This window comes from Homo sapiens, chromosome 7, assembly GCF_000001405.40.
Source record: "Homo sapiens chromosome 7, GRCh38.p14 Primary Assembly".
NCBI classification, from domain to species: domain Eukaryota; kingdom Metazoa; phylum Chordata; class Mammalia; order Primates; family Hominidae; genus Homo; species Homo sapiens.
Genome location: NC_000007.14, coordinates 98,951,214 through 98,970,952, shown reverse-complemented (window position 1 = coordinate 98,970,952; position 19,739 = coordinate 98,951,214). Strand labels below are relative to the sequence as shown.

At 48.5% G+C, this 19,739-nt stretch overlaps 1 protein-coding gene across 3 annotated transcripts in view, besides 1 other annotated feature; it reads right to left on the bottom strand.

The window, feature by feature from the left end:
- TRRAP (transformation/transcription domain associated protein) overlaps positions 1–19,739 on the bottom strand; it is a 134,710-nt gene that overhangs the window by 42,289 nt on the left and 72,682 nt on the right. For all 3 annotated transcript variants that reach the window (NM_001375524.1, NM_001244580.2, NM_003496.4), the window contains 13 exons: positions 17,520–17,786; positions 15,649–15,855; positions 14,649–14,807; positions 14,420–14,554; positions 12,862–12,972; positions 11,463–11,609; positions 9,479–9,692; positions 8,526–8,651; positions 6,178–6,324; positions 5,058–5,257; positions 3,791–3,912; positions 3,255–3,468; positions 662–841 (listed from right to left, as the gene is read on the bottom strand). In NM_001375524.1, the coding sequence (NP_001362453.1) occupies positions 662–841; positions 3,255–3,468; positions 3,791–3,912; positions 5,058–5,257; positions 6,178–6,324; positions 8,526–8,651; positions 9,479–9,692; positions 11,463–11,609; positions 12,862–12,972; positions 14,420–14,554; positions 14,649–14,807; positions 15,649–15,855; positions 17,520–17,786 (2,229 nt within the window). The remainder of the gene's footprint in view (positions 1–661; positions 842–3,254; positions 3,469–3,790; positions 3,913–5,057; positions 5,258–6,177; positions 6,325–8,525; positions 8,652–9,478; positions 9,693–11,462; positions 11,610–12,861; positions 12,973–14,419; positions 14,555–14,648; positions 14,808–15,648; positions 15,856–17,519; positions 17,787–19,739) is intronic.
- Positions 9,486–9,650: a silencer, noted in NCBI's record as "fragment chr7:98558926-98559090 (GRCh37/hg19 assembly coordinates)". NCBI's record gives its function as "represses an EF-1alpha promoter that drives an FKBP-Casp9 reporter gene in an ReSE screen in K562 erythroleukemia cells {active_cell/tissue: K562}" and the evidence as "EXISTENCE:reporter gene assay evidence [ECO:0000049][PMID:32094911]".

Genomic DNA, 19,739 nt, shown 5'->3' with positions numbered 1-19,739 from the left:
GCGGCAGCCACTACTTCATGGAGGACAGAAAGCCACCAAGCCTAAGGCATCAACCTTCGTACAGGTTCTCGGAGGAGCAAAGGCTCCCTGCTGCCCGTCCCGGGACTAGGCAGAGACATGGGTTCTGAGCAGGCTGCTGGAGGAACCAACTAGAGCCCCAGCCCCTGTGTGGCAGGCAGCATTCCCCCAGGCAGCGCTTTCTGTAATGAACACGGGCTTTTCTCACCAGGAGAGAAAAATCACGGCACAGGGAAATGTTCTGTTCTCAGCAGTACTAGCTCATGGTAACGTGATTCATCTCAAAACCGAATGGGAGTGCAAGATGCTTCTCAATTCTAACTAAAAAAAAAAAAAATCTAGCTGAACTTAGGTACCACATTCAGAGCTTTCAGGTAGACAGGTTTTTATACCTTGTTCATGCCCAAAACAAATCTAAAGCTGATACAAAAACTTCTTCCGCAGGACCAAGGATTCTGCCCGTGGGGCGCGGGGCCTCACCTCCACTCCTCTGGGATTCTGCCCGTGGGGCGCGGGGCCTCACCTCCTCTCTGGGATTCTGCCCGTGGGGCACGGGGTCTCACCTCCTCTCTGGGATTCTGCCCGTGGGGTGTGGGGCCTCACCTCCTCTCTGGGATTCTGCCTGTGGGGTGCAGGGCCTCACCTCCTCTTTGGACTCGCTGTTCTCCCGCTCCCGGGGCTCCTGCTTGACATGTGTGACCATGGCGAAGGCGGCACGGTCGTGGCTATCGGCCAGGTTGATGACGTTGGTGATGGACGGGAGCATGGCTCCTTGGCAGCTGGTGCCAATGGGGGTGCTCTTCTCACACACGGCCAGAAGCAGCTGCAAGGGGTGCGGAAAGGAGACAGACCCAAGGCATGCGCGTGGCATTCAGGGCATCTGGACTTCTCTCCCAGATGCCCCTCACTCAGGCACCTCTGACTCTGCAGGTCCAAGTATGAGCTCAGCACCCTTTCCCACCTGTCCCCAACCAGACGGGCTTCCTCTCCTCCAACCCCTCCAAGGCATCGTCCACATACAGAAGACCTCTGGTTCACTCATAGCACACACCAGGTCCTGCCACTCTTAACTCCTGAACACCTAGGCGGTTCCTGCTCCCACCTGGGTGGAACCTCCCACCTCACCCCCAGACTCGTCCTCCTGAACCCATCTCTTTCCACACAGTGGCCCTTTACCCCGGCCCACCCACCCATAGCTTCCCGCAGCCTCAGGCGACAGTGTAGGCTTCCCCGTGTGAGTTGCGAGCCCCTCCGTGATGTACTGAAGCCCCTGCCTGCCTCTGCAGTTGGGCCACTCGCCACCACACCGTTCTTCCCCACAGGCCGTGCACAAGCTGCCTGGCCACGACACTCTTGCCATCTTGGGCGAATATTCCCTGAGCACCCACTGGGTGCCATGGGGGCCCTGCAGACTCATCTGTTGACTGCACAGAGATAGTGTCCCCTGCCTCAAGGAGCTGAAGTGTCAGGGGGAAGGACACAGCCAGGCATGTGCTCACTGTGGTAACATGGCCAGGAAACAGGGTGGACTGACAGAATTAAAAGGAGCTGCACATTAGCCTGAGTGGCAAGAGTGAGGCAAGATCAAGAATATGGAAGGCCAGCACACTGGAGACTGATGCTGGAGGGAGAGGGATGAGATGGGGATGCAGAGAGAGGCAGGGGGCCAGTCACCTGGCAGAGAGAGGCTATGGGGACCATAGCCTGGAGGCTGGATTTTATGCCACGCACAATGGAAAGAGTATTGTTATCTGCTTTATTAAGAATAATTTTGTAACGACAGAGAAAACTTATCAGTAGGAGGGGAGGTGGTTGAACACTACGGAAATGGTTCCATCGTCCTAATGAGAGATGGCGGTGGCCAGTGGGCCCTGAACTGTCACCCGCAGTGAGGGAGCAGATACTCAGGGGCAAAGGAAGGAGGGAGTCGAGGACTCTTGGCTTGTGCCCTTCCCCTGACCGATTCACATGGACCTGCCACAGCCAATATGTCGTCTGTCTTTGTCTTTTTAGCACCTGACCCAGTGCCTGGCAACTAACCAGCAGTCGAAAGGTCTCCTGAACGAGTGATGGAAGAGCAGGGAACTCTGCCCAGGTGTGGCCATAGGCAAAATTCCAAACGCACGCTGCACACGCGCCAAGAGAACGCCCATCCGGCACGAACAGGAAACATGCTAGCAGGCTCTCCTGAGACCCAGCACCACAACTCACTCCCTTCTTCTCATCAAAGAGAACTAATCCACCTTCTGTCCCAGCTGTCTCAGGAGACATAGTACGTGGTGACCTGGTTTCATTCACTCCAGGTAAATGGACGAGAACTACCTGCACAGCACTGGTAACCTGCCACAGCAAACTCAAGCTGATGAGTGAGCCACAGGCTGAAACTCTAGCAAGCTAGAAGCTTACCACAATCCTGCTGGAAACTCAAAGAACATCTGACTTGCCTTCCATGAAAAGTCAATTCTACTCTAGGTCTGGACCTCGCTTTCATAACACTGAGCATGTTAAACACGCTTGTGTTGCCAGCACCCGACTCCTCACACTAAGGAACCAAAACCGACAGCGTGGTCAGGCCCTGGCCCGGCTGCTCCATCTTTCTGCTTAAGGAATGATGGGGGCCAGGCATGGTGCCTCATGCCTGTAATCACAGCATTTTGGGAGGCCGAGGAAGTCAGATCACTTGAGCTTGGGAGTTTGTGACCAGCCCGGGCAACATGGTGAAACCCCATCTCTACTAAAAATACAAAAATCAGCCGGGTGTGGTTACATGGGCCTATAATCCCAGCTACCGGGGAGGCTGGGGCACAACAATTGCTTAAACCTGGAAGGCAGAGGTTGCAGTGAGCTGAGATCATACCACTTCACTCCAACCTGGGCAACAGAGCAGGACTCTGTCTCAAAAAAAAAAAAGAACAATGGGAGTTGACAAGTCCACAGTTTTATTTTCTAGGGCACGCAGACAGAATTCAAACTTTTTTATATTTGAAGAAAAAATGAATCTTCACCTACAAAAATATACTATTCAACTTTCTGACACAGGATTTTAAATCAGCCCAAAAACGCTTTAGATGAACGCTTGCCCTGAAGTCTTTATTTTCTTCCTGGAGATCAGAAGCAGGTTTGTGCTGGAGATTTCCAATTCATCTCAGTGTGTGTGAACACCTCCTGGCTTTGGAGCCCCAACTCAGAAAACCCACAGCTGCCCCCGGCCACAGATGTGAGCCGAGTCTTCCTACCTCAATGCACTGCTTGATCCAGAAGTGGTTCCCCATGGCTTCCCAGTTCTGCGAACAGGTCACATAGAGCAAGCGCTCGTAGACACGACGTTTCATGGAGTTGTCAAAAACCTCGAAAAACTTTGCCCTGATGAGTGGCTGGGCACAGCGCAGCCCAGAGAGAAAGGCAGGCTCAAGTTTCGCCGTCAGCTCGCTGCCAGAGAGGGTCTCATCCCTGTAACACCAAGTCAGAGACAGGCAAGACGATGGACTCCCCAAGTCATATGCAAACAAGCAGAAACAGGTGAACGTGGATGTGAACTTGCTGAAATGCCACTATGAAAACCAAGAGTATGTTATAAATCGTGGCAGGCTCATGCAGCATTACAACACAAGGTCCTTTAATGACACCAAAGTAGGTCACACAATTTAGCATTTAAATGAATATTTTAAACTTAGGTATGAGTAAAAGATTAAAATCATGGCTGCATGGCTGGCTGGCCGGGGAGCACATTAAGGACCAATATATGTAGTACTTGATTAATTGCTGTAATTACCTGTAGACATAGTTAACAAGATCTAAAAACTGGGCATTTAATTCAAGGTCTTCCGGAAAGCGTTTTTCTATGTAAGTCATCATCTTCACAAGCAAAATGGACTTCTCCCGGAGTGTAGGTGTCTGTATGAAATTTGAGAAAAGACGCAGTTAAAAGTATTTCAACCATCTGCTCTAGTATTTTTTAAGCTCCTACAATTTTATCAAGCACAATAAGACAAGGTCATTCCTAAACAGTAAGGCAAAGATGGCTTTATCTTTGGATGCTTAAAATCAAGACATGCCAATGTAATTTTCGTAGGGGCTACAACTCATTTTAGAGAGAAAGCAACTGTAAATTATAAAACAAATCAGAAGTTTGCAAGCATCTAAGTGAAATGATAGTCTCTATTATTACTTTTACTTTAAGTATTATTTGTCTTATCTTTATCGCCATAAAAAGGTTAACAAGGTTCATTTAACAACTTTTTTTTTTTTCTAAGACAGTGTCTCGCCGTGATGCCCAGACTGGAGTACAGTGGTGTGATCTTGGCTTACTGCAACCTCTGCCTCCTGGATTCAAGCGATTCTCTGGCCTCAGCATCCTGAGCAGCCGGGATTACAGGCATGCGCCACCATACCTGACTAATTTTTGTATTTTTAGTAGAGACGGGGTTTCACCATGTTGGCCAGGCTGGTCTCAAACTCCTGACCTCAAGTGATCCACCTGCCTCGGTCTCCCAAAGTGCTGGGATGACAGGAGTGAGTCTTCATTTAACATTTTAAGAGGAGCAAAGCCACATTAAGATGAGCAACTCAGTTTCTATTTAACATCTGTTAAGTGCACTGAAAAAAATCCATCTTTCTTTTTTTTTTTCCAAGACAGAGTCTTGCTCTGTCGCCCAGGCTGGAGTGCAATGGCGTGATCTCAGCTCACCGCAAGCTCCACCTCCTGGGTTCACGCCATTCTCCTGCCTCAGCCTCCCGAGTAGCTGGGACTGCAGGCGCCCGCCACCATGCCTGGCTAATTTTTTGTATTTTTAGTAGAGACGGGGTTTCACCGTGTTAGCCAGGACGGTCTCAATCTCCTGACCTTGTGATCTGTCCACCTCAGCCTCCCAAAGTGCTGAGATTACAGACAAAAATCCATCTTAATTAAGAAAAGATGCTGTGAGTGCAATTACAGCAGAAAAAAATGTTTTGCTTCAAGTTTCAGAAAGACCAAGATGTTGAGGCTTGAATTTTCTTTTATTGAAAGGGAGATCACATGGCACACCGTCCCAGCTCACCTGATTGGCTGCCATTGGGGAGTTATTCTTGACCCATTCTTCCACGATTTTGACCACAGCCCGGAGGATTTTGGCATCTGGTGATTTTTCGATGAGGGATGTCAGGATGGCCTGGATGAAGTTCTTCCGCATCTCCATGCTCATCACTGCCAGGCGCGTCTTCACCAGCTCCAGACTCAGCATCACCAGCTCGCTTGTACCTGCTCGCCCCAATTAAGAACAAACCCACGGGTCTCTAAACGTTGATTTAAACAGGCAGCCACTAAGCCTTGCCTGGCATGCTGGGTTCTGCCCATTTTCCCCCTCAATGTTTTTTCCTGCAACTAGAGCTCTGGGATTTGAAGCACTCATATGTTCTTACGTGCATCTTGGAAATGTAGCCCTCTCTGCAGGGAGAGGGATGAGGGAGCTGACGGACCAGTGCAGGTGGCTCCGGCCTCTCCACACCCAGCTGTGAAGTCCTAATCATGGCCCCTGTACTCTGAGGTGCACCCAGAAGCCATGCCCACCACAGCCCCTGCCAGGCAGCCCCACACCCCCACACAGCATCCAGATTCCAGGAGCCCACTGCTCAGCTCTGGAGCCTGTGACTTAACTCTTCAGAACCAGCAACTCTGATTAAGCAGTATCTGTTTCACAGTAAGCACTGGTAAGTCTCAGTGGTGAATGCAGCATCTAAAAGTCCAACTATTTTAAAATTTCTGCATTCTTACACTCACAGACTTTAAAAGCAGGTGTGTGTGTGTGTGCACATGCACACGCATGCACACGTGAGAGAGAGTCTCAATCTGTTGCAGACTGAGTGCAGTGGATATTCACAGGCGTGATCACAGCTCACAGCAGCCTCCAACTCTGGGCCTCATGCAATCCTCTTGCCTCAGCCCGCTGAGGAGCTGGGACCACAGGCGTGCCACCGTACCCAGCTTAATAACAGTCCATTTTTAACAATGAGTTGTTTTTTAAACCCCTACATTGAAGAGCAAATGGTAACGATTTACGACCAAACAACAGGACTTGGTGAATGCACATTCCCTTTAGAGTTCAGCCCCAGCCTGCACAACAGAGTCTGTTCTCTGTTCAACAGAGTCTGAGGAAAGGCCCCCGGTGGCCAGCACATCACCTGAGGTGGCTTCGGTGCTTCCTGACGCTGCCTGAGGGTTTAAATGCTCCCGGACCATCTTCTGCAGGGAGCGCATAAAGACGGAGATCAGCCTGTCTATGTAGCTGGGGTTGTTGCTGCAGGCAGACTTGAGGATCATAAGGGTCCCTAAAATGTAGAAATTGCCAAGTGTTTCACAGAAAAGTAACAACCACGAAAAACAGAGTGAAAGCAACACATTATTCAAAACAATGTATTCTGACAAAAGCATAGTTAATCCCAGTGTCAACACTGTGAGCTTTTACATGGCTCACGCTACATTCTGAATGAAACACTGTATTTCCACTCCTAATTCTCAACTAGATCAAATCATCATGAATGAGAACTGATTTTTGTGCTTCAGTAGAAACAACGTTCTTACCTTCAGTTCTGCATTTTATTTTTGGGTGATGGCAAATTACCCTAAGTTTTTACTCCTATAATAGGTTTGGGAAAAATAAGAAAAAGAGGAAGAAAAATCTAGTCTATCTAAAGGACATGCCAAATATCTTTGAATTCAATTTGCACTTCATTCTGAGAAACAGCCTAAGATCAATAAAAATCAGCAAAGCCAATACTAGAACAGAAACACTGAGTAGAATTATCTTTCATATTTGGCATTGTGACAATCACCTTGATTTCAACCTACCCATTAAACTTTTTTTTTTTTTTTTTTTAATGTCGAGTCTTGCTCTATCACCCAGGCTGGAGTGCAGTGGCGTAATCTCGGCTCACTGCAACCTCTGCCTCCAGGATTCAAGCAATTCTCCTGCCTCAGCCTCCCGAGTAGGTGGGATTACAGGCACCTGCCACCACGCCCGGCTAATTTTTGTATTTTTAGTAGAGACGGGGTTTCACCATGTTGGCCAGGCTGGTCTCAAACTCCTGACCTCAAGTAATCCGCCTGCCTCAGCCTCCCAAAGTGCTGGGATTATAGGCGTGAGTTACTGCACCTGGCCCTACTCGTTAAATTTTAAATCTGTATTCACGGATCAACCAAAGAGTGTTTGCCAGTTATGAGGTGATTTCAGGCTAGCTTTGTTAAAAGACCAATTCTTAACAGAGCAGTCAACAAAAGACCAGTCTGGTTGTAACCCAGGCAACCCATGACACTTGATGACAGTGATGGAAATGGGGTGTACTCTGTGGTTCCCGAGTGCTATGCTCTCCTCTATGGAGCAGACGGCTGAGACTACACCCCAGATCCGGCATGGGGACGACGGTGTGGCCAACTTCCTAGGCCCACCTCACCCCGAGGCTGCCCCGGCCTTCGACACCCCACAGAGGAGGGAGGCAGGGCCCATGAGGTCAGCCCTTCTCAACAAGAGTCCTCCAGAGAATGAGCAGCGGGAGGAGATACTTGTGCTGCCCTGTGATGGAAGCTGGCATCTTCTGCAGGGTGACTCCACTTAAAAAAAGACCCAGAAGCACTCCTCACTCTCCGCACCCAGCTGCTGCCTGAAGAGAGACAGCAAGCTAAGAGAGCAAGGGACACCATGTTAACCAAATTCTCCTAGCTCCTGGCAAGTTTGGAGAGCAAGGAACTCATCCAAATATATTCAGTTGGCAAATTCAGAAAAGCGTTTGCCTAACAAGGGCTATCTATATAGGTATTTGTATACGTGTGTATAGAATATGATAATCACTCTAAAATACTGGGACTGATTGCTATTGGGAAGAGAGCCTGACAGGTGACTTCTACTTAGTATTCCTTCATTTGTATTTTCAAAGTTTCACCCAATGAATATGCAATAAAGGAGAAAATAAATTTTGAGGCACTAATCCAAAGTCTAGGATCAAAGACATGTGTCTGCCACAAAACTGAGGGCACATCTATAAATCTGACTCCTGCGTACCTGGGGCCAGAGTGACCCAGCTGCCCTGATCACCTAAGGAGGGAGGCAGTTTCCGTCTCACCTGGGCCAGCCAGAGCCTCAGCAATAAGACGGGACAAGTTCTCATCTTGTGAGTGGCTGACTCACAGGCAGGCTGGTGGTGAAAGGCAGAGTCCACACATTGTCATGTAGCTCTTGCGGTGCCTGTTTAGTGTGACACTGGGGTGGCAGGACACATGCACCCTGGCAACATCCCTCACACCAAAGCCTGTGCTGGAAGCTGAGGAGGGAGCACAGAGCAAGCATCGGCGAAGGGGGATGCAGTCTACAGGAGACGGCGGCCTTGAGGGCCCCAGGCAACAGACACCTGAACAACGCAGCGGCTCAAAGCTCTGCCCAACAACCGGAGCCCTTTCCCAAAGGGAAGCACGTCCAGTGAGCGGGGAAAGAGGCCAAACTGAGCCACCACGAACACCAGGACAGACACACACTCACCGAAGAGCTGGGAGGGATTGGCATTGGTGGCCTTCTCGTAGTTGGTGAGCCCTTCATAGATGACCTTTCCGACGGCTGCGTAGAGGCACTCCAGCTCTTCATATTTGGAGGCCACACTGGAAGTACCTACAACAGGGCAGGGACCCAGGCACTGTGGTTATGGCTCTTGGGCCCACCAGTGCTGATGCCAGGGACTGAGTGCTGGCTGCTTGGGTATCAGGAGGGATTGGCACGGGCACTTCTCTCCCTGCAGGACAGTGTGGGCCTCACCTCTGGGCTGGTTCCCGTTCTACACAGCTATATGCAGAATACTCAAAAAAGCTAACAGAATCTCCTTGAAATATACTTATTTATAACATGCTAAAATTTGATCCTGCCAAATGTTCAACATTTGAATACTTTTAATACTTCTCTTTAGTAGCTTAAAAAAATAATATTCAACTGATGAAGAACTGAATTTCCAAAGCAGACAACATTCAGTGAGAGCTGCCATTCTATGCTTTTTTTGAGATGGAGTTTTGCTCTTGTTGCCCAGGCTGGATTGCAATGGCACGATCTCGGCTCACCGCAACCTCTGGCCTCCTGGGTTCAAGCGATTCTCCTGCCTCAGCCTCCCGAGTAGCTGGGATTACAGGTGCGTGCCACCACACCCAGCTAAATTTGTATTTTTAGTAGAGATGGGGTTTCTCCACGTTGGTCAGGCTGGTCTTGAATTCCTGACCTCAGGTGATCCGCCCGCCTCGGCCTCCCAAAGTGCTGGGATTACAGGCGTGAGCCACCACACCCGGCCCATTCTATGTTTCCATGTCAGTTTTTAAAAGAAAGTTTGCAAGTAGAAAGGAAAGTGATAACAAAGCGCTCGACACAATAACTGGAGGACAAGCGCTCTCATAGCAAGCTCCGCGCCCACCGTCCACTTTGAAAGAAAAGCACCGGTGGGAAAGGTCACATACTCGGCTCTGTTGGGAAAATGCTCATCAGGCGCGAGAGAAGGCTGTGGACGGCTCGCAACACCTTGGTGTTTCCACATGTCATGCAGGCGGCAATTCCACGCTGCAGAGGTTTGAAGCTACTGAGGATGGCTGGGGACTGGAGGACAGTTAGCAGGAAGCTCAGCACTTCTAGGCCCGTGCAGATATTCCCATAGTTCACTTGGTTTGGCTGCTCCTGCAATGGACAACACAGGCCACTCACAGAGGAAACAAACACTCAATGACAACAAATTCTAGAAACAAGAGTCTGGCAAAATCTAGCACTGGATTAATTATTTGGAGACTAAGTAAAAAAAACCACTAGAGAATGACAATCGTATTTCACAAGAATGATTACTTTATAAAATCACTTTAAATAACTACTCAAACTCTTTTTTAAAAATACTTACTAAAATATTAATATTCGATAATAAACAATATTAATATTTTGAAATTGGTAAAATTCTAAAAAAGTTCCTGCAATGAATTTTGCTTTTCTCTTCCCATTTTCTTAAGATACAAAAATACAAATATCCTTCCAGGCCAGGCGCAGTGGTTACGCCTGTAATCCCAGCACTTTGGGAGGCTGAAGTGGATGGATCACTTGAGGCCAGGAATTTGAGGCTGGCCTGGTCAACATGGTGAAACCCCGTCTCTACTAAAAATACACACACACACACACACACACACACACACAAAAAGCCAGGCATGGTGGCATACGCCTGTAGTCTCAGCTACTTGGGAGGTTGAGGCATGAGAATCGCTTGAACCCGGGAGGTGGAGGTTGCAGTGAGCCAAGACTGTGCCACTGCAATCCAGCCTGGGCGACAGAGTGAGACTGTCTCAAAAAAACGAAACAAAAACAAAAAACAAATATCCTTCCAAAGACAAGCATCTTTCAAACTATGTATCATGGAATCAACTAACAGATGATGGAAGCACTAAAAATTAATAAAAACAAACCAAAGAAACAGAATAAAATAGAAGACAGAGTTCGTGGTTCATAGCAGAGGTCAAATAGAAGCAACATGGCCTTTGCAGTCCAGAATAACAAGTGCTTGCAATAGGTTTTATAATCTCAATAGCAAAAGTTTCCAAATCCTGTCAAGAACTAGAAAAACCAAATGTGGATAAGGCAAGAAAATAGCTTTTGCTGCCACCAGAAAAGCACAGGATCATGGTTTTTATAAGCAAAAAAACAGCCACCAAAATAAGATAATTAGCATTTTGGGACTAGCTCCTTGTTACCTAAGTGCTACATGGTACTTGATAACAAATTATAGCTCCATCATTAAATCTGTTTTAAAAATCCAAAGCTCATCTTAAAGGTTGTTGCAACAGTCAATTAAAAATGCTTATCCCAAGCCAACTGGTAGGTAAGTTTTAGAAACGAGTCCACAAAATGCAAGAGAACTGTATTAAGGTTAAACACTCCTACGTGTAGTTGGGGCCAGCATGAAAGCTCAAGTCCCAAAGCCATTCTTTCTTTTCTTTTCTTTTTCTTTTTTTTTTTTTTTTTTAAGAGACCAGGTCTTGCTTGCTCTGTCTCCCAAGCTGTAGTGCAGTGGCACCAATCATAGCTCACTGCAGCCTCAACCTCCCAGGTTCAGCCAACCCTCCTGCTTTAGGCTCTTCTAAGTAGCTGGGACTACAAGCTCACACCATCATGCCCAGCTAATTTTCTGTCTTCTCTTTTGTAGAATTGGGATCTCACTATGCTGCCCAGACTGGTCTCGAACTCCTAAAGCCTCAAGAGCAAAGCCATTATCAATTAGTCAAACTCTCTCCCTGGAGAGAGCAGTGGAGGCCAATGTGGGAGAGGCCATGACTGGCAAAGGGGACAGGAGATTTGGGGTTTAGGCATAAGGGTCAGAGTGATCCACAAATGTCCAGTCCCTGCCCAGGTGACAGTATCTGCTAGTGGCCTCGGTGGCGCTGCCCTGGCCCTTCAGACACTCGCACTCACCACAGTCATCAGCAGCTTGTCGAACCACTGCAGCTTGAGTTCGGACTTGGGCCACATGTCTGGCCGCAACGCAGTCTTCAGAAGGTTCACACACCGGCGAGAGAGCACCTCCCCAGGGGACCCCGCTGTGTTGGTGTTGTCATTAACCTAGGAATTCATCCGAGTTACAGCCGGCATTTCACTGCATCCGAGTTTACAGTCATTCCAGTGACAGCACGTCTCAACTGTGCCCTGGCCCTTACACCTGTCTCAGATCTTCACCTCACAGCCACCTCTCTTCCGCCTGACCTCCACACAGCTGGACACCTTCCCCAACCAGCCTGACTCATGACCCCTCACGGCCCCCTCCTCTGCAGCGCATCCGTGGTGACCTGCAATGGCTTGTGGGCCCTGCTGGCTCCCCACAGGACCTCCCTGCACACTGCAGGGAGGCAAGGAATTATCTACTGGTTAGGTACTTAGCAGATCCTTTTCAGTACTTGGAAATTCCCAACAGAACTGTAAGATATACTATTTTGTTTAACAGGAATAAGAACTTAAAATTTAGGAAAATTTCATTTACAATGGTTCTTTGAAATATAAAGTTTCAGAAATGAATTTCCAAAAATTCTATTAAGATATAGATTGATATGAATGATAAATAAACTCAAGTTATCAAAGCACTAAAACTGCTAAATGTCCCTTCCTTCTGTAGGTTGGATCATCTCACCCTTTACTGAGCTGTGTACCGTTCCCATCTTAAGGATGCAAAAAGAACACCTGGAAGTTAAATGATCAGCCGAGATCATGTCCCACCATAATCCACCAATGTTAACATGCTGTCAACTAGAAGGCACATCATTATTTTATTACCACTGAAAGAGTGAAATGCTTTTTAAAAAAATCCTATCAGGCCAGGCACGGTGGCTCATGCCTGCAATCCCAGCACTTTGGGAGGCCAAGGTGGGTGGATCACTTGAGGTCAGGAGCTCGAGACCAGCCTGGCCAACATGGTGAAACCCCATCTCTACCAAAAATACAAAAACTAGCTGGGTGTGGTGGCACGCGCCTGTAATCCCAGCAACTCAGGAGGCTGAGGGACGAGAATCGCTTGAACCTGAGTTGAAGCTGCAGTGAGCCAAGATCGCACCACTGCACTCCAGCCTGGGCAACAAAGCGAGACTCCATCTCAAAAAAAAAAACCAAAAAAATTAGATCAATTATAAGACACAGGTAGATTTTGGAAATGTTAACCTGCCACAAAATCAAGTGCAGTTGATACGAAAATGACAGAACCAGCTGGCAGACCTTGGTTTGTCTGTATCTTTTTTGATGAAATTGCCACAGATAACCTCCTGGGGTGTTAGTCAGTAGCCTCTGGTCTGCAGAAGCCCTAACGCAGGGCACTTGGATCCCGTACCTGACAGGCCACGCGGATAAGGAAGTTCACCACAGTGTCTGTGTGCTGCTTGTCAATGGGCTTGGCGAGGAGAGAGTCTGCTCCAGGTAGCGACTGGCTCCTCCCAAAGACCTGGAAAAGGACCTCCTTTCAGGCAGGAAGAGAATCGCAACACTAATTTCCAACCCAGGCTTGACTTTTCACCCAGCTAATGGGTATGCGGTACCTCCCGGGGACAGAGGCAGCTCTGGGCGCTGGGGATACCAAAGACAGATGTGGTCTGTGCCCTGGTGAAGTCGACACAGCCAGCAGGAGGGCAGATGGCTAGTCAACAAAATAGTGGCTCATGTGATGGGGAACAAAAGTGCGAGGCCCAAGACGACATCAAGGGAGGTCTTTAGGTTGAGACGAAGCGGGCCATGAGAAAAAAGAAGAGAGACAGCTCCCAGTGGAGGGAAAAGGCCAGGGGACACATCCTGAGTGAGCACAGGGCCAGAACCAGGGGTGCATTGAGAGCAGAGGGATGGCCCGCATGGCTGAGCACTGAGACGGTGCTGGGGGCCAAGAGCCATCAGCAGGGCCTGGTCACCCGGGCCCTGGAGGCCACAGTCAATGCGAGGGCTCAAGCAAGGGGAATGGCAACCTGACTTGATTCAACTTTTTACTTCCAAAGGATTGTAAGATCCACAAGAGATTTCTACAAAAACACTGTAGAGGTCTCACGTACCCTTCACCCAGCTTCCCCTGATTCAAGATGCAAAAGGAAACTTTTGTGGAAGTCTGACTGCTTTGTGAAAAATAAAGAGGGAATAAAAGTGGAGGCGGAGAGAGGAACAGCGAAAGAGAGAACAGGGAGGCAGTTGAGCAGCTCCCATCTGGTTACTTCGAGGGGTGACAGAGACTGGGACCACAGTGTGAAGGCAGGGATGAGTTATTTGCGGCAGAGTGAGACTTGCTCCGGACCAGATGTGTGGAGCGAGGCCAATGGACAAAGTGCAGACAGTGCCAGGTTTCTAATAGAAGCCGAGGGCAGACATGGGTGCCACATAAGATGGGGGATGGTGAGGGTGGGAGAAGAGCTCAGCCTCAGGCCTACGAAGCCAGAAGTAGGGTGGCCAGGCCTGCGTCCACAAGCCAGCAGGTCCATGACACCAGCTGGGGTCAGACTCAGGGCTCCTAGGGCCACCACTCCACAAGGGGCAATACCCAGGACCCTCTTGGTGGCTGCCTCGTGAAACAGAACACATGTCCTTCTCAGAAACTGATCTCAGTATGGGCACATGTTCTTAATCAACTCCTTACTTCAAAGAGTTTCTCTAGATGCCTTTCTGCAAGTAATCAACCATCATCAACAGAACTTTAATGGTATGAACTGAACGCATGAGGCAAGCATGTCTGGTGACCTGGGAACCCCTTGCATGAGTGACATGTCCTGGAGTTTCAATCTGGTGACCGTGGCTGTTCCCAGCTTCCTCTCCTGAATGCAGCTGAGCACCGAGCTCACATTCTAAATATAGGGAATAAACGAACCAACTCCCAGCAGAATGCGCAGCACCCATACAGAGGCACATGATCTTACTGCACTGATGGCTCCGGTGGCCGTCCTAAAGCGTTTCACTTCCTGGGCAGAATCCACGGACAGGCCTCTCTTAATGGAGGATGAGACAGAATTGACTCCTTCTCCACTGGAATTTGGGTCCATATCTGAATCCGGCTTAAAAACACACAGGCGCTTGGTTTTACTGACTGATTTCTAGGGAGAAGTCAAAGGAAGACGATCGGGGCACCCCTGAGGCTGACACCCCTACCTGCTGGTCCTTGATCCTCTGCAGCTCCCACTTGATGACGACTTCAGACAGGTCCACGGCCAGCCGCCTCTGCTCGATGGTGACACTGGGCGTGAAGCCCAGCCTCTGCATGGCGCTCACCATGTGCTGCACCAAGTGGTGCCGTACCGGGTAGTACACCTGCGGACGCAGGGCCAGCATCACGCCGGAACATGGGAGCTTGGTCCCACAGTGCATGCACGTGTGCGCACGTGCACACACACACCCCCGACATGCCTCTCAGCCCCAACATACACACACAGCCCAACTTGATGCTCAAGAATTCTGAATCCTAACCTGAGCGAGGAAATTCTCACTGCCTTATGTATGTGTTTATCACCCTCCCCCACCCCAACTACATCCCATTACATCCCATTACAATAGTATACTTCAGTCTTGAAAAATCAAATTCTCTTCAGACAGGAAGGTGAGTCTAATCACATGTATCAAACTTCAGAACTTGACATTGTAAAAGTTTAAGACATACCCAAAAGCAAAGTTCCTCTAAGAGGTGACTATAAAAGAATTTGCTTTCAACTCAATCCTTTCTCTTCTACCCCAAATCTACAAGAAACATTTACATATAAATAAATCCCACAAAAAGGGTAATTTGGCCAGAGAAGGAGGTGCCAGCAACATGAATAACTTTCCAAGGCAGGTGATGGAAATCTAGAGTCAATGAGGACTATCTCCCACCTTAAGGTGCAAACTTAGCAGCATACAAGGGTTAACTGGGCACAGTACTTACAACAGAAATGTAGCCTCAGACGCAAAGACACACACACCTGTGACATATTCTCTATATTACAGCAATTTCCATGCTGATAAAGCCATACACACATACACAAACTAATCAATGAACCAGAAGTAGCCTTACTAAAAGATGAACGACCACCTGATTATTGCAGAACAAGACAAGGTAAAGGTTCAAAGTGAATGCCTGAAGACGCGCGCCCCGCAGCCCACCGTCCCTCCTACACACCTTGAAGTGTTGCACTATCAGGTGCAGAATGTGGACCAGCTGCGGGACGGTGTGCCCCTCCTCCACAATGATCTTCCGGGTCCAGTGGGTCAGCATCTGGTGCCCGTCCTCCATCCTGGCCGGCACCGCCGGGGTCAGAATGGCCATCGCCTGTCTGACGATCGCTCGAGCTTCCATTGCGTGAGCCTTGAGGAGACTATGAAAAACCTAAAACAGGGAAGAGACGTTTATGGAGGATGAGAAGGAAGGCTTTAAGAAATAAGAAGACAATCCCTTGGTGTCAAGACATGCTACTTTTCCAAAACAATTTTTTAAAAACTTCTTAGGACTTTCTTATTAGGAAACAACTTAGTTGCTTTCTGTTAAGTTTTGACCAATGAATACATTCATTCTAGTATTTATAATGCACCTACTACGTGCCCGTGCTGAACTAGGCCAGGACATGCAGACAGGTAAGACCAAGCTCCCTGCAGGGATCCCATGTCCCGCCTAACCAGCAGCGAGTTAGGGAGGTACATGGCTCATCTCCCTCCGACTGCAGGATGGGAAATAAAGTGAACAGGGCCAACAAGAGAGGCGCTGAGAAGCGGCAGCTGCAGTCACTCAAGTGAGAGGTGAGGCCCCGATGTGAGGTCATGGGAACACAGAGAAGACCAGTTCTGAGGGTAGAGGGGACGGGGTGGGTGTTAGAAGCTGCAGAACCTGCTGGTGCCTGGGCAGTGGGGAGGAGCAGAGAAGGTCACAGAGTTCTCGAGTGTTTGTGTCTGAGACAACTGGGGGAGGGCAGGGCAGCCCCGAGGCTGGAGTTCTAGCTCAACGACCCATGGGAGGGGATGTGAGAGACCTCTGGCTTGATTGGGGTGCAGAGTTCAACACCACAGAGGTTCACAAGAGAAAGATGTCAGGGGAAAGCTGTCAAAGACGGTCTCACAGAAGAACTATCAGTGATTAAATAATGCCGCATGCTCGAGTGGAGTATTACATTTAATTCTCACACGGAGACATTAACTTGCCAAAGGGCATGGACCGTGTGAGCGGAAGAAACAACACTCAAACCCGGGGTGCCCAACCTCAGAGCCCAAACCACTGAGGGACTCCAGGAAGAAGCGCTCAATACCAGCCTCAAACCCGGGGTGCCCAACCTCAGAGCCCAAACCACCGAGGTACTCCAGGAAGAGGCGCTCAATACCAGCTGCACAGCAACAAGCTCATGAGATACGGATCCAAAAGTACCTATTGTCTTTGGCTAAGAGAAGTGGGCTGGGGCCCTTGAATATTATAACATCTGCCATGGAATGTCAGAGTCAGAAGCCAGAATGCAATGGACAGAGAAGCTTGAGATGGAAAAGGGTGACCTTTCCTTTTAAAAGCAAAGCTGTTGAGGAACGAGAGAGCAGAGTGGGAATGGGGGAGGAAGGGAGAACGTGGACAGTCATGGGAGGGCTCACAGTGTGGGGTGTTTTCCCCACAAATTTCCTTTCACTGTGGTAAAGCACACATAACACAGAATGTACCATCTTACCCATTTTTGGGTGCACAGCCCAGTGGCGCTCGGCACCTTCACACTGTGTGCAGCCATGAGCCCCATCATCTCCGGAATGTTTGCATCTTCCCAGGCAGAAACTCCGCACCATTCAATACTCGCTCCCCACCCCCTCTCCCCAACCCCCGCAATCTCTATTCTACTTTCTGTCTCTCTGAATTTGAGTGCCCTATGGTCTTCTAAGTGGAATCATACAGTGTCTGTGTTTTCATGGTTTTTATTGGTTTTGGGAGAAGACAACAGGAGAGGCTGAGACTGCACCAGGGAGCCAAGTGCACCATGTGAGATTCACGCTGATGTCGGCGGACAGGAGGGGCTTGCAAAATACCTGCAGGACGATCTTCTTGTGTATGGCGAATTTGGCGATAATGTGCGCCAGGAGCAAGTGTCCGCTGTACTTGCAGGCTGGGTCCACGCAGGCCTTGGAGAGCAGGCAGGGCCAGGCGAAGGTCATGAGGCGGCGCAGCTTGCTGTTGCGGTTCTTGTTGTTGTCATGGATGTGGTGGGGGGCGTGCTCCACCAGCAGCGTGGCGTACTGCAGCAGGTAGATCCGCAGCGAGTCCAGCATGTCCGCCTGCTTCTCGGGGTCCAGGACCTGTGCAGGGACAGCAGGAAGGACTCATTTCCAGTTGTGAACTGGGTTACTGACTGAGGGTCATACGACAGGTTTAAGCCTTAAAAACACACACACACACACACACACACACACACACACACACACACACACACAATGTAACATGAAGTTTTACAAGGAGGTTATCAATAACATCCTATCCATTTTCCTTCACATATATGTGAAAGGAGAAAAAAACCCCAGGACCCCAATTTGCTCTGCCCAGTGGAAAAAAATTAAGCTGAAAGCTGAGTCATGCAAGAAACTGGCTCCTTTCGTTCCTAAGGAGAGCTACAGATGAAAGGTTAACGATCTGCACAGGTGACGGCCCCACGTTCACCTTATCTTACGTAAAGTGCTGACTTACCGAGCATGAGATGAACACAGAACTGACTCTTCCCCTACCTGGTCCCCTTCTTTGGCAACGTGTGGATGACCACACCTTCCCCCGTTCCCCTTCAGCCCACTCTTCCCCTTCAAATACTGAAGCCCTCAAAACCATTTTTAGAGAAAGGCACAAATGTCTCTCCCGGACACATCCTTAACTTTGGCAAAATAAATTTCTAAATTGATTGAGATCCGTCTCAGATACTTTTTGGTTTACAAATGGATTAGAAATTCACCAAATTCAACATTTAAAATAGGGCAGGCTTAAGAGTCAGGATGCAGGGGCTGGAGGAGGGTGAGGTGGAAAAGAAGACCTCTTTGATTCGAGGTGATTTAGGACTGAGTTTCTTAATTTCCAAGTAGTTGAGATGTTTTTTCCTGGTCAACTTTTGTCTACTCCTCATTTTTCTGCATTATGATCAGAAAATGTGACCTGGAAAAATGTCTACGTTCAAAAAATTGTTGCAGTTTTGAAAGCATCTGACAGATTTTTTAAGTGTTTCATTGACATAAGAAAAAAATGTGCCTTCTTTGAGGAATATTCTACGCATCTCTATTAAATCAAGTATAATGGCAGCATCATTCAATTCAACTAAGTATCCTAACCGCTGTCTGTCTACCAGGTCTTAATAATTCTGAAAAACAGACAGACTGAAGTCTTCCACTATAATCATGTTTTTATCAAGGTCCCTTTTAGCCCCAAGGTCCTCTCTTCCCCAGATGTACTGCTTCTTGGCAGGCCCACACCTGCATCCACAGCCTCCAGCCTGCCAGCTCCTTTTCTCCTCATCCTGACGTTCAAAATCCCCACAGCAGCATCTGACCCAGGAGACACAGCCTGGAGAAGGTAACAAAGGGGAAGGGGTCCTGTCTGGACCCCATCTCCCTACACTTGCCCAGAATAAGGCAAATATCAGTACGGGGACCAAGAATAAACCCTTGGGCTCACTCTGATCATAGGGTGGAATGTCAACACTTCAGGAAGGAGGCCCAGCTGAAAGGACAAAGACTATGTAAGGTCCAAGAATCTGCCAATGGAAACAACAGTCCCCTCTGCCTTGATCTCAGGACAAAATGGATAAGAAAACCAGCAATCTGTATTTCTGATGAGGAACGCCATCACTCAGCATTCCAACAAACACTCAGTGTGAGAATCTCAGGGCAAACACGGCCTTTAACAGTGAAGATCAATACAGTAAACCTTGGGGAAATAACATGATGCAGGCATTTAATTCAAAAAGCCCTCTCTAACACAAACTGTAAAGCACAGAGATATTAAAACCGAGCTCATTTCAGACTGGACTACGGCCACCACAGGGTTTCATTCACTGGAAAAGGAGGAGTCACAGCAGCTACTGCAGGCAGTCTCATATGCTCACTGGCTGTTAGGAGAGTCTTTTGTAAAACTGAAGATGAAAATGGAACACAGAAACTCTGCTGACCGGCAACAGGGGTTTTCACAAAATAACTGCTATATGAATTTTCATTGAGATCTATTCCATTTCTGACTAAATCTATTAATGTGGGAAAGTTAATTCATTCGAAAGT